Here is a 19,735-nt window from a genome sequence, read left to right on the forward strand (position 1 = left end):
AAGGCTTTTTGGGTTTGTATTTTCCTGGGGCTGTGGTCACTCATTGGCCCTGAATAAACCTCTTTAAGTAATTTACAGAGTTTGATTTTTCTGTTAACAGTTAATTAAGATTCCATGTATTTATCACAAATTCTACTCCAAATCCTTCACAAGTTGTCTGTCAAAAGACAATATTACAACAGATTTATAGATCTGTTAAAAGAAAAGCTTTAGACAAACTAATGGAGTTTTGTTGAGGAAAGAACCTTGAAAACATGCTAAGGGAAAGAAGTTAGACACATGAGGCCACATATTGTATAGTTCCATTTATATTTGCAATGTCCAGAGTAGGTGAATTGATAGAGTCACCTATGTGATGTTGAGGTGGGGAGAATAGGGAGTGACTTCTGATGGGTTTGAGGTTTCTTTTTGAGATGGTAAAAGTGTCCTGGAATTGGATAATAGGGATGGTTGCACAACACTGAGTATACTAAAAGCCACCTGTGACTTAAGAAATATATATGTGGTCTCTGCATAGAGCTTCTAAAACCCTTGTAACTTTTTTCTTTAGGTTTTCATTAAGGCATTTTATAAAGATAATATCATTTGTATTTATAAAATGTTTGCTACATATACATAATATATATAGTGTATATATAAATTTAAATATGCTCAAGTTACAAAGCAGAATTATGAAAAGAAACCCGTGAACCCATTACTCCACTTAAGAAATAGAATATTACCAATATTGTTGCAATTTTCTGAGAGTTTCCTCTTCTTTCTTATCCCTCCACCCCAGCTAATTGCTATCCTGATGTTTTTCATTTGTGTATGTGTATTTTAATTTAATTTAAAGTTCCAGGATACATGTGCAGGACGTGCAGGTTTGTTATATAGGTAAACGTGTGCCGTGGTGGTTTGCTGCACCTATCAACTCATCACCTAGGTATTAAGCCCTGCATGCATTGGCTACTTATCCTGGTGCTCTCCCTTCCCCCTGTCCCATGGACAGACCCCAGTGTGTGTTGTACCCCTCCCTGTGTCCATGTGTTCTCATTGTTCAGCTCCCACCTATAAGTGAGAACATGCAGTGTTTGGTTTTCTGTTCCTGTGTTAGTTTGCCAAGGATAATGGCTTTCAGCGCCATCTGTGTCCCTGCAAAGGACATGATCTCATTCCTTTTTATGGTTGCATAGTAGTCCATGGTGTATATGTACCACATTTTCTTTATCCAGGCTATCATTGATGGGCATTTGTAAAACACTTGTAACTTCTTGAATGATAGTGACATCTTTTGTTATTCATCATAAGCCCCTTTTAACCATACCTGAGTTTATGCCACTAATGAAGTGGCTTTTGGAAGATGGGAGCTGGTTATCAGAGAAACCAACCATGTGATTAGAGGGCTGAAACTTTTAGCCCCACCTCTCAACCTCCAGAGAGAGGAGAGAGGCTGGAGATTGATTTGATTACAGTTTATCTAAAAGAAGAAACGGAGGCAAAATTAATAAAAGTGGAGAGTTTACATTTGAACCAAAATGAAGACAGCTGCCCAGAAGACTCACATGCAAGTAACCTGGGATATGAGCTTCATTAAGCCTTTGTTACAAGCAGGTTTTTAAAGGTAAAAAAGGGGACTAGGCATGGGGCAGATAAAAAGTTGTTTGTCAGGAATTCTCATTGGTTTACAGAAATAACATTGATTAGTGATGGCTATACATTGTTGAATGATAGGGTATGAGTTATGTTGTGCAGCATGCAGTATTGTTAGGTTAATTTATAGCTACTTGGGGGGCAGTCAGTCTAGAGTCCACATAGCAAGCAGCTTCAAAAGATGATTATTCAGCAAGAGGGAGGAAGTGAGATGTGACTGCTGTCTCTTTCTCATGCCTTTTTTTGGGCCTGATAATTTAGAGGAAGCTCATATTCCTCATATAAAAACATTTCTTTTGACTGTCATTACTAATGGCCAATGATTTTATCAATTATACCTAGGTAATGAAACTTCATAAAAACTTATTAAACAATGGGGTTCAGAGAGCTTCCAAGTTGGTGAATGCATCCACATGCTGGGAAGGTGTCACCTCCCAAACCCCATGGGAACAGAAGCTCTGATGCTTGAGATTCTTCCAGAAGTGTTGTGATTAGAGGAACAGTTTCCTTTGGAACCTGGCCCTAAGACTTTTTTTTTTTTTTTTTTTGAGATGGAGATTCGCTCTGTCGCCCAGGCTGGAGTGCAGTGGCGCTATCTCGGCTCACTGCAAGCTCCGCTTCCTGGGTTCATGCCGTTCTCCTGCCTCAGCCTCCCGAGTAGCTGGGACTATAGGCACACGCCACCATGCCCGGCTAATTTTTTGTATTTTTAGTAGAGACAGGGTTTCACCGTGGTAGCCAGGATGGTCTTGATCTCCTCATCTCGTGATCCGCCCGCCTCGGCCTCCCAAAGTGCTGGGATTACAGGTGTGAGCCACCGTGCCTGGCCCCTAAGACCCTTTTAATCTAGATGTTCATCTGTATCCTTTAAAATATGCTTTGTAATAAACTAGTAAACATAGATGTTATGATCTGATTGTGTCCCTCCGAAATGTGTATGTTCAAGTCTAATCTGCAAAGTGTTGATATTAAGAGGTGGGGCCTTTGGGAGGTAATTAGGTCAAGAGGATGGAGCCCTCGTGAATGGAATTAGTGCCCTTATAAAAGAGGCCCGAGGGAGCATGTTTGTCCCTTTCTCCTTCTGCCATGTGAGGACACAGTAAGAAGTTACCTTCTATGAGGGAGAGAGCCCTTACCAGACACTGAAGCTGCTGGTGTCTTGATCTTGGACTTCCCAATCTCCAGAACTGTGAGCAATACATTTCTAGGGTTTATAAATTACTCAGTCTATGGTATTTTGTTCCAGCAGCCCAGATGGAATAAGGCAGTAGATAAAATGTTTCTCTGACTTCTGTGAGCTCTTATAGCAAATTACTAAACCTGAAGAGCAGGTCATGGGAAACCTTGCTTTGTAGCCAAGTCAAACAGAAGTGTGGATAGTCTGGGACCCACTACTTGTGACTGGCACCTGAAGTGAGGGCAGTGTTGTGGGACTGAGCCCTTAACCTGTGAGGTCTGTGCTAACTCTAAGTAGTTAGCGTCTGTTGTGGTTTGAATACTTGACCCCTCCAAAACACATGTTGAAACTTCTCCACTTGCCATGCTGGTTTTAGCATAGAAAGTCTCATGTCTTGGGAAGCTCCCCTACCCTTCCTCGCCTCAAGTCCCAGGCAAACTGGGATGCTTGACCACCCTGTTTCTGTCTGCTCCTGTCTATTCACCTTCCCTCCAGTTGGAATCAAACCACAGTTGATATGAGCTCTGGAGTGCAGAAGCTGATACAGCACCTGAGGCTGCCTTCTGACTGGCATCTGGAAACTTGGCTGGCAAACAGTTTCTTATACTGATAATAACTTCCTATAAAGGGCAGGGGTCTTCCCTGCACCTAAACTGTTTGTACAACAACATGGCTCATGCTAAGCACCTGCCTTTCTTCTGGGAGTTTGGAATTTTGGTGTATGCTAGGCAGACACCAGCTCCTGATAAAAACCCTGAGCACCAAGTCTCTATGAGCTTCCCTGGTAGACAGCATTGTACACGTGTCATCACAACTAATTGTTGAGGGAATCCAGTAGTGACTCCCTCTTGTTTCTGCTGGAAGAGAACTCTTGGAAGCTCATGCCTGGTTTCTTCCAACTTCACCTCATGTACCTTTCCCCTTTGCAGATTTTGCTCTGTATCCTTTTCTTTAAGTCTTAGCCAAGGGTATGACTGTGTACTGAGTCCTGTGAGTTCCTCTGGAGAGTCACAGAACCTTGGGGTGGTCTTGGGGACCCCTGACAAACCTGTTGAGGGACTTTCTCAGAGAAGGGCCCTTCTTCAGGGCCTGATGGAATCGATGTCTCTTCAGATTCCTGCATAAGAGGAGGAATCAGACCCAAAGGCTAGTCTAAGGTCAGCCTGGCTCCCTGCTCTGGCCATACACAGCCTGTTCTACCCTGCTATCTATGTGGCAAACTGAGGCCCAGGGAGGGCAGGACTTGCCTAAGGACACATGGAGAGTGAGTGTCCAGGTCTTCTGCCACCAGCCCCAGGCCTCCCCCTGCTTCTGTGCCTGCCCGGGGCTCTGTCCCAGCTGGACTCAGAGTGGTGGGTCTTTTGCACCCCCAGCAGGAAACCCTCAGCAGGGCCAACAGTCCTGACCTCTGCCAACCCTTCCAGAAATCCACAGAACATCTCATCCATCCTTCCTTCTCATCCACCAAGAAGGCCACAGCACCCTCCTCATGCAGTGTGGTGAGAGGTGTGGTACAGTGTGCAGAGTGGGTCGTGACAGCCACAGCCCAGTGGACCCAGCCCTGTCCTGCACCAGTAGGGCCCAGCTCATAGCCGTTCCTGGCTTTCAGTCAACCTGGGCTCCTGCTCTGGAGGCCACTGACATTGAGTACCTGTGCTAACAGATGTGCAGGTGAGAAGGCCTCTGGGGGTACGGGTGATGGAGCTGGGAAGGGGCCAAGGTGGTCCACCTTATCAGAGTCCTGGGAGCTCCGGTGGCAGCTGCCATGAGAATGCAGTGGGAGATGGTGGAGTGGCCCCATGGATCTCTCTGGCATGGATGCTCAGCCTCTAAAGGGGGCTGTTTTACCAGCTTGTAAAATCTACCCAAGTAGGGTACAGGCTGGGCTGTCTTGGGGGAAAAAACATTAAAACTTAAAGCAGTGTTTTATATGGAAAAATATGAAAGGGTTTTTTTTTTTTTTTTTTGAGACAGTCTCACTCTGTTGTCCAGGCTGGAATGCAGTGGTGCGATCTTGGCCCACTGCAACCTCCGCCTCCCAGGTTCAAGCGATTCTCCTGCCTCAGCCTCCCAAGTAGCTGGTATTACAGGTGTGTGCCACCATGTCCGGCTCATTTTTTGTATTTTTAGTGGAGACAAGGTTTCGCCATGTTGGCCAGGCTGGTCTTGAACTCCTGACCTCAGGTGATCCACCCGCCTTGGCGGCCTCCCAAAGTGTTGGGATTACAGGCGTGAACCACTGTGCCCGGCTGGGACTATTTTAAAATATCATGTATTAATAAAAAATTTGAGGTTCATGAAGACTGATGGATCAGGAGATGATTGCCATTGAGAAGCTAGTTTATTACTCTCAGTTCTGGAGAGAAGGGCACATGCCACACCACAGGGGCCACATGGGAAAACACTGGGGTTGGCCCTGAGGCAGAGGAATGGGGCAGGGAGTGGTGGGCAAGAGCCTTTACTGTGGTTTCTGTGGGAAAGAACAGGTAAGGCAGGGCGACAGTTTAGGATTGGGTGGTTTGAGTAACTTCAGGGCCTGGAGCAGAAGGGCTGTCCCTCATTGTCTGATACCTGGCCCTGGAGTGATTAGAGCAAGTCCATAGTGGCCAGAGTGTGAGAGCCCCATAGAGGAGGTGTTTGAGGGTGTGAGCATTGGATTGGTTGGTTTGTGTTTGAAAAGTGTACCCTGCCCAGGAGGAGGACTCTTCCTGAGAGGTGAGGAGCTGATGAGGGAGGCAGAAGGCCAAGGCAAGGTGATTCAGGCCCATCATCAGGGTGCAGAACCAAGTCTGTCCAGCATATACATACAAGGCAGATGTTAAAGCATTGTTTGCAGAAGCTGGAAACATAGTCAATACAGGGGCCAGGGCAGGGTGAAACTTCTCTGTAGGGGAGGAGCCTCCAGCATCAGGGGATGGATGTGTCTCCTGCAGCCTAACTCTGAGCTGCAGGCTAGACAAGGTTGGGTGGTTCCAGCTGCCCAGGCTGGCCTCAGGGTCCCAGCATGAGCAGCAGTGCATGGAGGTGGTACGGCTCCATTTCAGCCCTGCCTCTCCCCAGCACCTGACCAGCATGGGAGGCTGAGTGCTGGGCCTTGGTGGGCAGGGACAGACGGGGATGGGGAAAGGGTATGTCCGCTGGCCTCCAGCCTGCAGGACCTCCTGGTAGCTTCTCCTTGAGATGGGGAGGGGCAGGCCTGGTGCAGCAGTATGCAGGGGTCCTGGCCTGGGAGAGCAGGCTGCTGGCTTCCCACCAACACAGTGCATCATTGACAGGGCCTCCACGGGACCTGTTGACCCACCTTTCCCATACCTGTGTCTCAGGCTGCTGGGCCAGGTGCCACAAGGTGACCATGTTACCTGCTGGTCCTCCTTTCACATAGATCTGGCCTCCTTGTGGCGCCCCCTCAGCCCACCCAAGTCATTCCTCTGATGAGAGGTTCTCTTCTGTGCTACACTCCCACCTTGTGCTTTACCAAATTCAGGGCCTGCCCCTCTCCCACCAATCCTGGTCCCCAAACACTCCCTGGCCTGGAGGGCCAGCCCACAGGCCCTTTCTGGTTCCCCTCTTTTTATTTAGAGAATGTGCAAATTTTTTGAAAAGCTAAGAGCATGGTACGGTGACTATCCATAAATCTGTCATCTAGATTCAGCAAGAATTTGGCCATACTTCCGTCTTCCTTCTTTATCCCTACCCCTGCCTCACCCCCGCTTGTTCTCACTGTACATATGTGTGTATGTATTTGTGTGTATGTGTGCATGCATGTATATGTGTGTGTTGTGCATACATGTATATACATGTGTGGGTATATGTATGTCTTGTGTGTACATGTATGTATGTGTGTGTGTGTATGTATATCACAGTCTGCTCAGGCTGCTATGACAGAATATTATAGACTGCATGGCTTAAATGACAGAAATTTATTTCTCACATTCCTAGAGGCTGGAAGTCCAAGATCAAGGTGGCAGTAGATGTGGTGTCTGGTAGAGGCTGTCTGGGCTGTCTTCCTGGTGTGCATGTGACCATCTTCTTGTTGTATTCTCACATGGCCAAGAGCAGAGAGAGAGCTCTCTGTGGTCCCTTTCCACTCGTGAGGGCTCCACTCTCATGATCTAATTATCCCCCAAAGGCCCCACCTCCGAATGTTATACCTTCACCTCACCTTAGTGGTGAAGATTTCAACATATGAATTTTGGAAGAGGAAGGATGAACATTCAGACCATGCAATGTAAGTGTTTATATTTGTGTATGTTTATAAGCATATGAATATAGGCATGCATATGCGTGTGTGTATGTGCTGTATATATACAATTCAAAAGTTTTCTTGGTTTGTTTGCTTGCTGAATCCTTTGAAAGTGAGCTGTAGGCTGGCCGGACACAGCGGTTCACGCCTGTAATTCCAGCACTTTGGGAGGCCGAGGCAGGAGGATCACGAGGTCAGAAGATCGAGACCATCCTGGCTAACACGGTGAAACCCTGCCTCTACTAAAATTACAAACAAAAAAAATTAGCTGGGCATGGTGGTGCATGCCTGTAGTCCCAGCTACTCAGGAGGCTGAGGCAGGAGAATTGCTTGAACCCAAGAGGCGGAGGTTGCAGTGAGCCAAGATCGTGCCACTGCGCTGCAGCCTGGGTGACAGAGGGAGACTCCATCTCAAAAAAAAAAAAAAGAAAGAAAGAAAGAAAGTGAGCTGTAGACATCACAAACTTCTCCCTTAAGCACTTTAGCAGCAAACATTGTCCATGTGACCCCACTGTAATTATCCTACTAGGGAAATTAACATTGATGCAATAAGGCCATCTGATTCAGGTCCATATCCGAATGTCCCCAATTGACCTTTGTCTCCTTAATCTCTATGATTGTTGTTGTTGTTATTTGTTTGTTTGTTTTTGAGACAGGGTCTTGTTTGGTAGCCCAGGCTGAGTGCAGTGGTGCAAACACAGCTCACTGCAGCCTTGACCTCCTGGGCTCAAGCTATCCTCCCACATCAGCCCCCCCAGGTAGCTGGGTCCACAGGCATGCACCACCACACCTGGCTAATTTTTGTATTTTTGATAGAGATGGGTTTTGCCATGTTGCCAAGACTGGTCTCAAACTCCTGAGCTCGAGGGCTGCCTCAGCCCCCAAAAGTGCTAGGATTACAGGTGTGAGCCACCGTGCCTGGCCTATTTTTAATTTTTTTCACATGTAAGCCTTCCTGCACCACATTTCTTCCATGTCTTAGTATCACTCTCAACTCTGGGGTTTTTAGAAATTCAGCGTGCTGTACTCTGTCCTCGTCAGTACCCTCACGGCGCTCATGTGTGGCAGGCTCATGTGTCCCTCCAGCAGATCATCATTGGTCAGGCGGACGCCAGCACTCCCCTTGTGCCTTCTTTGCCCATCTATTTCTCCAAGGAATCCTGCTGCCTTTCAGTGGAGGATTGTTCATGAACAAAATCCAGGCACTAGTTGAACCCCTTCATGTGTGGGATGGTTCATCCCATTTCCCAAGCCCCTGACATGTCATGTGAACTCAAAGATGTATTGAGTTATTGAGTGAACACAGAGAGGCAATGATGGAGACAGCAAAGCTGAAGATGATGCAAAGACCTAGCATCTCAAACAGTCCTTGCACTCCTGGTCCCTGGTCCCTGACACCAGTGTCTTCTGAGATGGCCCCTGGTGCCCCAGACTCCCCACTTCACTGGTTGGGCCCTGCCTTCAAGACAGCTCTGGGTGCTCTGTTTTAGGGGGACCCTTCTTGTCCTTCTGCACATGGCTCTGGGGAACTCTTTTTGGGGGCCTTCCTCTCTTCCTGTACACATCAGCAGTGAGCAGGCTCTTTCTTCTGGGAGGCCCCTGTGCACCTCAAGGGCAGCAGCTTGGCCAGGACAGCCTGGTCCCTCTGTGTGCAACACCTAGGAAGGCCTGGCACTTATGGGTTAAAGGTCAGTCCTGCCTTCCTCCTCCATTCACTGACAGAGCATGATGATGGAGGTCTCTGTGGGCACTGAAGCCGTAGGGAAGTGACCTTACCAGGTCACATAACCAGTGAGCGTGGCTCTCATGGATGTGGGCTCCTCATGAGTGTGGGCTCCCGGAGAATCTAGGCTTGCTGTGAGTGTGGCTTGCTTGGGCCGGCCCTGTTGTTCTCCCTTGCAAGCTCTGAGGAGGCAGGGATGGAGGAAGCTGAGCAATATCTCCAGGTCCCACCTTCATCTCAGCCAGCCTGATGGTATGGGTCGTCTCCTTGACCTTATGTGCTGGGTCAGTGAGCCAAATGGGGCTGACCTCAGGTCAGGCCTGGGCCTGGGGCCCCTGGGCTCCTGCAGAAACCTAGGCAGGTGAGGTAGTGGACCCCTCCCTCTGGCTTGACCAGGGCCCAGCCTGCCTCCTATGTCCTGCCGGAGCACACACAGAGAGGACCCCCATTCAAAATGTCTCTGCTTTATCATGGACTCTCCCAAGGCTGTGGCTTCGTGTTTTCGAGGCTCTCATCTGGACTTGATCCAATTCGAGCCACTCCTCAAGTGCAGCCACAGAACACGGGGAGGCTGGTGATTTTTTTGAGTACAGCTCCTTTCTTCTTGCTGCTTAAGCTCAATCATTTGATTTTCTTCTTTCTGCTGAGACCCTTGGCCCCTGGTGAGCTAACTGGATTCCTCTCGACCCCCAAGCCAGGAGCACAGCCAGGGTGTAGAAAGTGTTTGGAGAAAGAAAATCCCACTAGAGGCGTTTTAGACAAATTTTTTCAAACATGTGAAAAAGCAGCCTAGAGTTGAGGAGAATAAAAACCCCTTCTTTCAAGTTGCCTTGTATACCGTGTTCAGCTTTTTTGTTGCTAAAAGATAATTTTCAAAAAAGGGAAAAATCATGACTCTTCTATACAATAGATACAAAGTGAACAAGGGACAAGAGATTTAATTTAACTCTAGAGGGATCAGGCTCAAACCAAAGAGCAGACACAGGTACAGGTTAGGACGATGAAACTGCTATACGAATGGAGACAGAACTGTTTCCTCTGTGTGAGAGTAAGTGTGCATCCTGTGTGCGACAGAGGGGCTGGAGCTTGGTGCCGACAGGCACTGGCCATTAGCGATCCTCCCAGCCGCTCAACAGGCCTGTGTCACTGCACAAGTCAAGTGCAGTTCCCTGGGGCCGCAGGGATCTGGCCAGGTGTGAGTTCCCACACAGCCATCTTCTTGGGTGCCTGATGGCCAACACTGTGGACCCTGAAATGACCAGCAGAGCTGCATGTCCTGTTGTGTGAGGCAGCCGTGTGTGGACACAGAGCTCAGTGTCTCTGTGGGGTGGTGACTGTCTTCCAGGGACATAATATTCTAAACACCCCTGACCTAGAGCAGCATCCACACTCACCCCACCCCTTCCTCTCACTTCCTTTGCACTTCCTGTAACCACACCTTTGCCCTTGCCATGCCACCGAAACTGGCCCAGGCCTAGGCAACCTCTGAGCTACCAGACCCCCACAGGCTCAGCTCCTGATCTTGTCCCCATGAGCAGGGCTAGCAACACCTCTGAAGGGGGTCAGCCCCGGGAGATCTGGCCAGTGTCTCCAGAACCTAGTGGAGAGGCCTTTCCTGGCCCAGAGATGCCACCATGGCTGTGTATTCTCACCAGAGGTCAGCCGCCTGTTGAGTGCACCTGGCTGGACTCCCCCACCCACCTGGACATGCTTATCGCCACGGGGTTTCCCTGTTCCCGGCCAGCTGCCTTGTCTGCCTGGAGCACCCAGGGATGAGGCCTGCGTTTGCTTCGTTCCTCCCTCAGGAGCCCGGGACAGATACACAGAAAGACAAACACATGAAGCTGAGTGGATTTTTAAATTAGCAGCCGTAGAAGGCATCATGCACTCTCTGGATCCAAGAGAGATGGTTTCTGTCGAGCAGACTTGGGTGGGTCACTCCTGGCAGCAGGGGCTCCCAGGGGAAGGTCTCTCACTGAGAGGTGTTCTCTGCAGGGGGGCACGGGGAACTCAGATGCAGTACAGAGCCCGGCCAGGGGGGTGGTGGGGAGGAGGGAGGTCATCCGCTGTCCATTGTTCATGTGCTAATGTGTTCACGCCCACAGGCCCGGGGACCTGCGCTGCTGGCCCCTTTGCTGTTGTGCAGGGGAGCAAGCAGAGCCCTGCACCCCACTGGCTTTCCCCCAGCCCTCACCTCGCCTGCAGACAGGTGGATGAGGCCACCCTCATATGCCAGAAAGGGAGTCCAGGTCATAGGTGGGCTTGGACGGTTAGCCCAGAACCCATGTTTGGAACCCCTGACCTAGAGCTCTCCCAATATTTGGGAGGTAAGCTGCTCTCTGCAGTGAAGTGGGAGAGGCACAGGCTTTGCACACAGGTCGAGCAGCACTGGGCCTGCCAGTCATTTGCCTCCCTGGGCCACTTTCACTCACTGACACTCACTCCCAGCCTGAGTGGCTTCCTTGAGTGCCTGGGGGCCTGCAGCTGGCATAGTCTGGGTTGGTGTGCCGAGCCCTATCTGCCCCCAGGGCCTGCTCATGGACTGCACCCACTTTCAAGGCCCCACTGAAGGCCCAAGCTGGCCAGGGGAAGCTCAGGGAGAAAGGGAACTCATACCTAGGACAGGGGCCAGACACTTCATGGCACAGCGGCTGAAGCGGCACTTCTTTTCTCCCTAACACCCGCCGTCCATGGAGCACTCACTCTGCTCCTCGCAGAGCTCTGGGCTCACTGCAGGCTGCACCCAGGGGCAGCTGCCAATCTTTGGGGCTGATACTAGGGGAGAGATGGGCCAGCCCTTCATCACCCAAAGCCCTTTTATGCTTCCCAGCCTTGCTGGGCCCACCTCCCAGGGCTCCCCATGCCAAAAATACCCATTTTATAAATGAGGAAGTTGGGCTGGGCGCTGTGGCTCATGCCTGTAATCCCAGCACTTTGGGAAGCCAAGGAAGGAGGATCACAAGGTCAGCAGTTCGAGACCGGCCTGGCCAACATGGTGAAACCCTGTCTCTACTAAAAAAAAAAAACTACAAAAATTAGCTGGGTGTGGCAGATACTTGGGAGGCTGAGGCACAAGCATTGCTTGAACCTGGATGGTAGAGGTTGCAGTGAGCCGAGATCGCTCCACTGCACTCCAGCCTGGGCAGCACAGCGAGACTCAGTCTCAAAAACATAAAAAAAAAATAAAAATAAATAAAATAAAAAATAAATGGGGAAGTTGAGCCTCTGTTCTGCTCTGGGGTCAGATGTGTCCCCGGGGCCTCCTTTCTGCTGATCTCATGGCAGGAACCTCCACACCATCCTTGGAGGCTGGACCACAGGACAGAGGTGGATGAGGGTGGGTCAGCCTCAGGCAGGTTCCGGCAAATGAAGGGGGCTCACATGTAGGGCCGAGTGTGTGGGGCAGTTGTGTGGGCACTAAGAGGGTGGTCCCAAGTGTCCAGCTCAGGAAGATACTTGAGAAAGCTGGTTCCTCCCTCCCCCAACAGATGGGAGCCAGGCTGTCACCATGGGGCACAGGGCCAGGTGGAGTATTACCAATGGTGGGGTTTTGCAGGAGCGGCTGCAGGAGCTGGGGCAGCACTTGCTGTTGCCAAGACAGTCATTGTAGGTGAGGCAGGTTTTGACGCAGGGCACCTCCTCGGAGGAGCTGGCCTCGGGGCACACGGCCTGCTCTGCACACAGGATGGGCAGGTGAGTGGGGGTCCAGGCCCCATCCCCAGGCTCCTCAAGGGAAAGCAAGGTAGGGGCAATGAGGAACGCAGCCGTTAACAGCTTAACATGCTGTTTCTTAGAAGGCCAAAAAAATCTACCAGGAATGTGACAGCCTTGACAAAAGCATGGGAAGTCAGCTGAGAAAATTAGGAAGCAAGACCACAGGCCCACTGCAGGTGGTGGGACGTTAAGACCCTGACCAGACTGGCTAGGGCCTGAGGATAGCCCCCATTCTCCGCTGCCACTTCCCCATCTCCCAGCTGCACTGCTCGCTCTCAGGCCCAGACGCTTCTCAGGCCCAGTGGGACAGCTGCCTCCACGTGGAAATACAGCCCTGCTTTTCTGCCATCCCTGGACTCCCCACCACCCACCCCCAGGAGTGAGTCTCCTCTGTTTCTCTCTTCCCCATTCCTGTCGCCAAACCACCAGGACCTGTGGTGCCTTGGGTTCCACCAGAAGCAGAGATCAGGCAGGAGGACTCTCCTGGGAGTGTCCCCTAGAGAGGTTACCTGGCGAAATGAATGCTGGGGCCACAGCAAGGGTCACTTTCAGGGCAAGCAGGGCCAGGGCCAGGCTGAAGAGACAGTGTATGGTGGCGGGTGGCAGGCAGGCGGCAGGTGGTGGCCTGAGGACATGGGTTACATTTAAAGGACCTGGGTGGGAGGAGGGCCTCGGGGCGGGGGGCAGGGGGCAGGCTGGCATGGCCCCAACTGGACTGAGGCACTTCCTCCTTGAATGCCTCCAGAGGCCAGGCCCAGTGCTGGGGAAATGGCTGAGAGGTCTGGGGCGGCTGCTATAATCAGGGTCATGTTTCAAAAAAAAAAGTCCTTAGTTAGGTTGACCAGTTTTTCCCCATTTTGAAAGTAATGCGTGTTTATTATGAGAATTGATAAAATTAAGGACAGGGGAAGGAAGAAATAGGACCTATCCCAAACACTGCTATAGCAGTTATTTTAAAATGGTTGCATAGGGGCCCCCGGGGACAAAAGAAATGATGTGTCCCAAAGTTGTACGTTACCTAGGAAACAAAATAGGAGAGAGATAGCAGGCGCAGGGGCTCTCTCAGACGGTGTTTTGCTTCTTTTTTTTTTTGTAGTTTTTGGGCTTTTGACAAGAAGGAGATGCCTTCTGCTTATGAGCTGCAAGCTCCTTGTGGAGAATGCCAGGCACTGGATGAGGAACGAGTCAGGCTCTATGTTAGGGGCTGTCTGTGCAGGGCAAACACCAGGAAGGCCTCTTCCCAGAAGGGACCCTTCTGTGCCAAGTGAGCGGGTGCCACGGAGCAGGGGCGGGTGCTGCCAGTGCGCTATGCCTCCTCTGCTCTGGGGCATTTTCTTGATCCTCTTGCCTGGAGGGCTTGGACAGGGAAGGGGCCCTGGGGATTGTGGAACCTGGACATCTGCCTTGAAGACCCCGTGGTGACCATGTGCTGGCTGACAGCTGGTGCTTAGTCCCAGGTCCAGGCTGCACTCCTGTCCAGCTGGGGACCCTCATTGCAGGCCTATGGCCTCTGGGCTTTGGACACAGAGTCCCTTAAAACTTCCCCTGGGACCCTCTGCTACTGAACATCGGGATGTTCCAGCCCAGAATGTCCTGCTACTTTGGCGGAGCTGTAATGTGCCTCCTGTACGTGCCCATGGCATGACATGGCTCCATCACGGCCCTTATAGTCCCTCTGCAAAGCAGTGGGCCTCAACCCAGGCCCTTCCTGGGGTAGCCAGCATGGACACTCTGGCCATGGTGACTTGCCACCTCTTGTGCCTCTCCATGGCTTGAAGTTTACCCAATGCTTCACGTAGGCTGTTCCACCTTCCCGGGAAGGGAGCTACACACACACCAGAGACCTGGTGGAGTCCAGGGCTTGGGGAAGTGAAGGTGGCAAGGCCGTGATTGTTTACTGGCAGGCCTTGGTGGCCCTTTTCTCTGTCTCTGTCCGTTCCTACCTACATCATGAGTGGATTTGGCTAGAAGATCTGAGTCCTTCTGTCGCCGATGCTGGGTCTGAGGTGAGAGCTGACCCATCCATCCCAAGAACTCAGATCCCTGGCCACAGACTCACACTGTGAGCGCCCTCCCCCTGCCCCCCACCCCACACCTAGTCCCTTCTTCCTTGACAGCACAGAGGGGCACTTCCTTCACCAGCATTTCCCATCTCCACAGGGTGCCCCCAGAGCTAGCTATGCCATTTTCAGGGCACCTTGTTCAACAAATGGAAAAAAAGTACTGGTAAAGGTACTAGAATAAAAAAGTATTTTTCTCTTCCACAGTCTCTCTGTACTTGTCATGATGCTTTTCACAATGTGTCAATTTAAGTAAATGAAAATAAAAATTTCTTATTATGAACATGAGTATCAGCAGTCATTTTTATGTTGTACAATGCCAATTCAAAGGCAAACACAAGAGCATTGAGCTCTTAGGCAGAATCACCCAATCACACAATTCTTACCTTGTAGCTCACATGGGCACACATATACAACAGTGCAAACGCTGCACAAAACTAACTCAACTGGTTTTGTTCCACTTATTTTTTTCTCATTTCTTTTTATTTAATATTTTTGGATCCATCTGTTGTTCTGAGGAAACAGCTTCCTCTTAAGCAGTTTTACTCTTCTGACACAAGGAACTGGTTGACTGAATGTGTCAGATTAAACTTTCCCTCCATTACATCAAACCTGCTGTAACCAATGTTGTGGCCAGACACTCTTAGCACCCTAGGTCTGCTTTGCCTCTTATGGCCATTCATATCTATATGAACTTGTATATTAATAAGGATAAAAAGTTGCATTCTTTATTTTTATCTTATTTTAATAAGATAAAAATATTTAATTTAATTTAATTTTTTTTTTTTTTTGAGACAGAGTCTTGCTCTGTCACCCAGGCTGGAGTGCTGTGGCACAACTCCGGCTCACTGCAACCTCTGCCTCCTGGGTTTAAGCGATTCTCATGCCTCAGTCTCCTGAGTAGTGGGACTACAGGTGCTTGCCACCAAGCCCGGCTGATTTTTTTGTATTTTTAGTAGAGATGGGGCTTCGCCATGTTGGCCAGGCTGGTCTTGAACTCCTGACCTCAAGTGATCCGCCTACCTCGGCCTCCCAAAGTGCTGGGATTACAGGCATGAGCCACCGCACCCAGCCCTATTTTAATTTTTTATTGAGATGTAATTCACATGCCGTCAGATTCACCCCCAATTGTAAAGTGTACAATTGAGTGTTTTTTAGTACATCCAAAACGTCATACAACCTCCACCTCTAATTCCAGAACATTCCATCACCCTAAAAAGAAACCTAGTACCCACTATCAGTTACTTTCTATTTCCTTCCGTCCCCAGCCTCTGGCAACTGCCAATTGACTTTCTGTCTCTGTGGATTTGCCTATTCTGGACATTTCATGGAGATGAAATCATAGAACGTGTGACCTGCTGTGCCTGACTTATCTCACGGAGCGTGGCTGCTGAGGTTCATCATGTTGTAGCACGTGTCGGTGCTTCACCCTGTTTATGTACCATAGTATTCCTTGGTGTGCATGCACACACTCTGTTGGTCCATTCATCTATTGATGGACATTGGGCTGTCTCCACCTTTTGGCCCCCGTGAGGAGTACCGCTGTGAGCACTGGTGATTTCACCTGTTGACATGTACATGCCCTGCCAAGGCTCTCCTTCTCTGGCTACCGGACAAGCAAGGAAGGCACTTGGCTACTGTCTTCCCCTTTCCTGCTGTGCTGTCCTTTTCAGAGTAACTGGCTGGCTCCTACGGGAATAAGGCAGGCAGGAAAGGGCCGGCAGGGCTCCTGGGCTGCTCGTGTTTCTCAGAGACCCGTCGCATCCTTCTGTGGCTCCAGCCTGTCGGGAAGCCAGGGCCCCACTCCGTCTGTGCCTTTCTGGGACCTGTGCACATGGGATGGCCAGGCCTGCTGCACATGTGGGTCACATGTGTGTTTGTTCCATTGTCCCACCAGACTTCACTTACTAGCACATATGTTGACAGGTGAAATTAAGGATTTCAAGGCATAAGAGCAGAATGTTGAACCAAGCTTAGGGACACATGGTTGTGTGGGCTGCTGGCATGAAGTGGCACACACCTGGAGCCCCTGATTTACCCGCTGTCTTGGCTGCCCCCAGGGGTCCCAAAGACCCTCTGTCCCTGGCCCCTACTCCCCAGCTCTGCTCTAACTCTGACGTCTCAAGTCCCACAGAGGCTAGGCCCTGCCACAGCCTGACCCCCTTCCAGCCGGCTCAGCCCCTCCTGATCCACACCTCTGCCCTCACACCTCTCGGGGCTCCAGGCTCCCGCTTTCCCCTTTTCTCCCCAGCCACCCTCTGCCTGGCCAGTGGACGTCTTCCGATGAGTTCACTCTGTGGAGCCCCAAAGCTGTTGCGTTCAGAGTCTGCCTGGGCCCCGGGGCACGACTCCCATCACACACCCACCAACCCCTCCCTGCTTCCCCCAGGGACTCTTCCACGACCTTCGTCTGCTCTCAGGGCCCTGGAGCCCCACCTCCCACTCCCAGCAGCAAATGGCCTACTTCGACTTCAGAGAGGAGGGCGAGGCTGTCAGCAAGGCTGTGCCCACCCTCTGGAAGACTTAGTCTTCTTCATCCCTAAGTCTTCTTAGACTTAAGAAGACTTAGGGATGATCTTTCTCTTGCCTGTCATCTGGGTTCAGGGGATGACCTTTCTCCTGCCTGGGCCAGGCGGCCAGTTCGAGGCTGCTTCCAACACCACTAGCACCCCCAGTCATGTCAGGCCCAGTTCCATTCCCCTTTCTGCGCTCCTTTATTCCCTTCATTACTACTATTTCTGGAAGAAAAGCCACAGGCATGCAAGGATGACAACACACACGGTGCAGGGCAGGGGGCAGTGGCGTTCCCACTTGGCCCTGACCCCCGTTCTCATTTTTGGAGGCTGATTTCCTACTCTCTTCAGAGATGATCAAGCCTGTTCAAGTATGGATGTGCAGGTCCGTTCTCCTTAGAAATGCGACTTATGTGCACACTGTCTCCCCCTCCTTTTTTTTTTTTTTTTTCCATTTGGGGAACATCCATTTAGCTCAGCCAAACTGAGCTAGTTCTGTGAGCTCAGTTTGGCTGGGTTTTAATGACACACGCCTGCTTCTGAGTGGCGGCTTAGTCCCCTCGGTATGGATGTGTCCACATAATTGCTAGTCTCCTATTGATGGACATTTAGGTTGTTTCTGATTCTTTGCTACCACAGAAGACCCCAGCTTTCGGCATGTGGGCAGGGAGCTCTGCAGGGTACCAGTGTAGAGGCGGAGATGCTGGGCCAAAGGGTCCATGTTTCGCCCACATGGGAGGCCCCGCCCAAGTGTCCTCCAAGCATCTGGCCCGATTCCCAGTCCCTGCTGGCACACCTGGGTATGCAGGGCTGGTCCCCGACACCTCATGAGCAGACACGCTCATCCTGCCCACTGGGTAGATAGGTCGATGGGTGATGGTGGAGGCTTTTATTTTTACTTTTTATTATGATAATTTTAAACATACAGCAAAGTAAAAATAATAGTTCAATAGGTACTCACAGACCGATGGTCTAGATTAACCTTGTCAACATTTTGTCGGACTCATGTTACTATTGTTTGTGTTGTTGTTGGAATTTAAATCTGAAACATCGTGTTGTTTCAACCCCAACTACTTTCTTTTTTTTTTGAGACAGAGTCTCACTGTCACCCGGTTTGGAGTGCAGTGGTGCAATCTCAGATCACTGCAACCTCTGCCTCCTGGGTTCAAGCAATTCTCCCTGCCTCAGACTCCCGAGTAGCTGGGATTACAGGCTCCCACCACCACACCCGGCTAATTTTTGTATTTTTTAGTACAGACGGGGTTTTGCCATGTTGGCCAGGCTGGTCTTGAACTCCTGACCTCAGGTGGTCCACTCGCCTCAGCCTCCCAAAGTGCTGGGATTACAGGCATGAGCCACCACGCCTGGCCAATCCCCTACTACTTTCATATGAAGTTGGAAATCCCAGGGCTGTTTTCCTACAGATAAAATTATTCTACGCGTAAAGTAACTGCTAGTTCCATGAGCTCAGGTTGGCTGGGTCTTTCCTTCTCAGTGGTGTCCAGCCTCTGCAGTCCTCCTTCAAACTGCCCCTGCACCCCAGCTCCCCCAGCCTCCCTCCTGTTTCTTGTCCCTCTATAGTCCTCACTCCTCAGGGAATGTCTATGGCACTGCCACTATCCCCTTTCTCTGCTCTCCCCTCCCCTCATCCTGTGGGAAGCATCCGCCCACGCTCCCTGAGCCCCTGCCCTAGCCCCCACCCCTGCATCCCTGGCAGCAGCTCCCAGGCACAACCAGGGCCCTGCCTGGTCCGGAGCACGCCCATCTGTTCAGCCTTCAGAGGCCTTGGACCCACATCTGCCCACTGTTGCCAATGCAGAACTTGGCCTCCTCCCACATCTCCTTTCCCTGGGAATGGTTCCTCACAGCCAGAGACTTGGAGGGCCTCCCTTTTGTGTTTCTCCATCTAATCAGTTACCAAGAGGTTGGGCCACTGGTGGATGCCCCTCCAAAACCCTCTTGAGTGTGTTCCTGTCAGCTCTTCTGGGCTGCTGCCCTGGGATGGGCTGTTGTGGCATCGGCCACTGCAACAACCGCCTTAACACACTTGTCTGACTACAGACGATCTGATTTGTTCATGAGATGTCCTGTATACTGTCCTCCAGAGCACAGGACCTCTCTCATCTTGTTGAACAGCACATTTGCAGCATCTGGGGCATTAGCCTTTAATGGGAAGGAAGGGAGGGAAAAAAGGAGGAAGGGAGGGAGGAAGGAGGAGAGGGAGGGAGGGAGGGAAGGAGAGAGGGGAGGAGGGAGGGAGGAGGTGGGAGAGGGAGGGAAGGAGGCAGGGATGGAGGGAGGGAAGACTATATCAGGCCTCCCCACTTTCCAGTTAGTTGTCAATGCTCTGTCCAGCATGGCCTTTCACGCCTGGGCATGATCCTATCACAACCCCATCTGAAACTCTTCGGCGGTTTCCCATTACCTGGGGGGAGAAGTCCAAATGCTGGGGTGTGGCATTCATGCCCTTCATGACCTTGAATGAAGTGGCCTAGAGGAAGCGTTTGAGTGCATGCCTGTGTGAATCTAGTCTTGGCTGTGCTAGTTGTGTGACCTTGAGCAGCTTACTCCTTCCTCATTTGTAAAATGGGGTAATAATGAGACCTATTCCAACTACCAGAGGGAGCTGGGGCCCGGGGGGCCAGGAGGGAACACATGTTCTGTGTGGCTGGT

At 50.8% G+C, this 19,735-nt stretch overlaps 2 annotated features.

Annotated features, from left to right (window-relative positions):
* Positions 5,691-5,790: a silencer, noted in NCBI's record as "silent region_18164". NCBI's record gives its function as "represses an Ori minimal core promoter by ATAC-STARR-seq in GM12878 lymphoblastoid cells {active_cell/tissue: GM12878}" and the evidence as "EXISTENCE:reporter gene assay evidence [ECO:0000049][PMID:35858748]".
* Positions 10,566-11,391: an enhancer, noted in NCBI's record as "H3K4me1 hESC enhancer chr7:45163452-45164277 (GRCh37/hg19 assembly coordinates)". NCBI's record gives its function as "activates a minimal SCP1, AML or CMV promoter by ChIP-STARR-seq in naive H9 embryonic stem cells {active_cell/tissue: H9 hESC(naive)}" and the evidence as "EXISTENCE:reporter gene assay evidence [ECO:0000049][PMID:30033119]".

This window comes from Homo sapiens, chromosome 7 (assembly GCF_000001405.40).
Source record: "Homo sapiens chromosome 7, GRCh38.p14 Primary Assembly".
Lineage (NCBI taxonomy): Eukaryota > Metazoa > Chordata > Mammalia > Primates > Hominidae > Homo > Homo sapiens.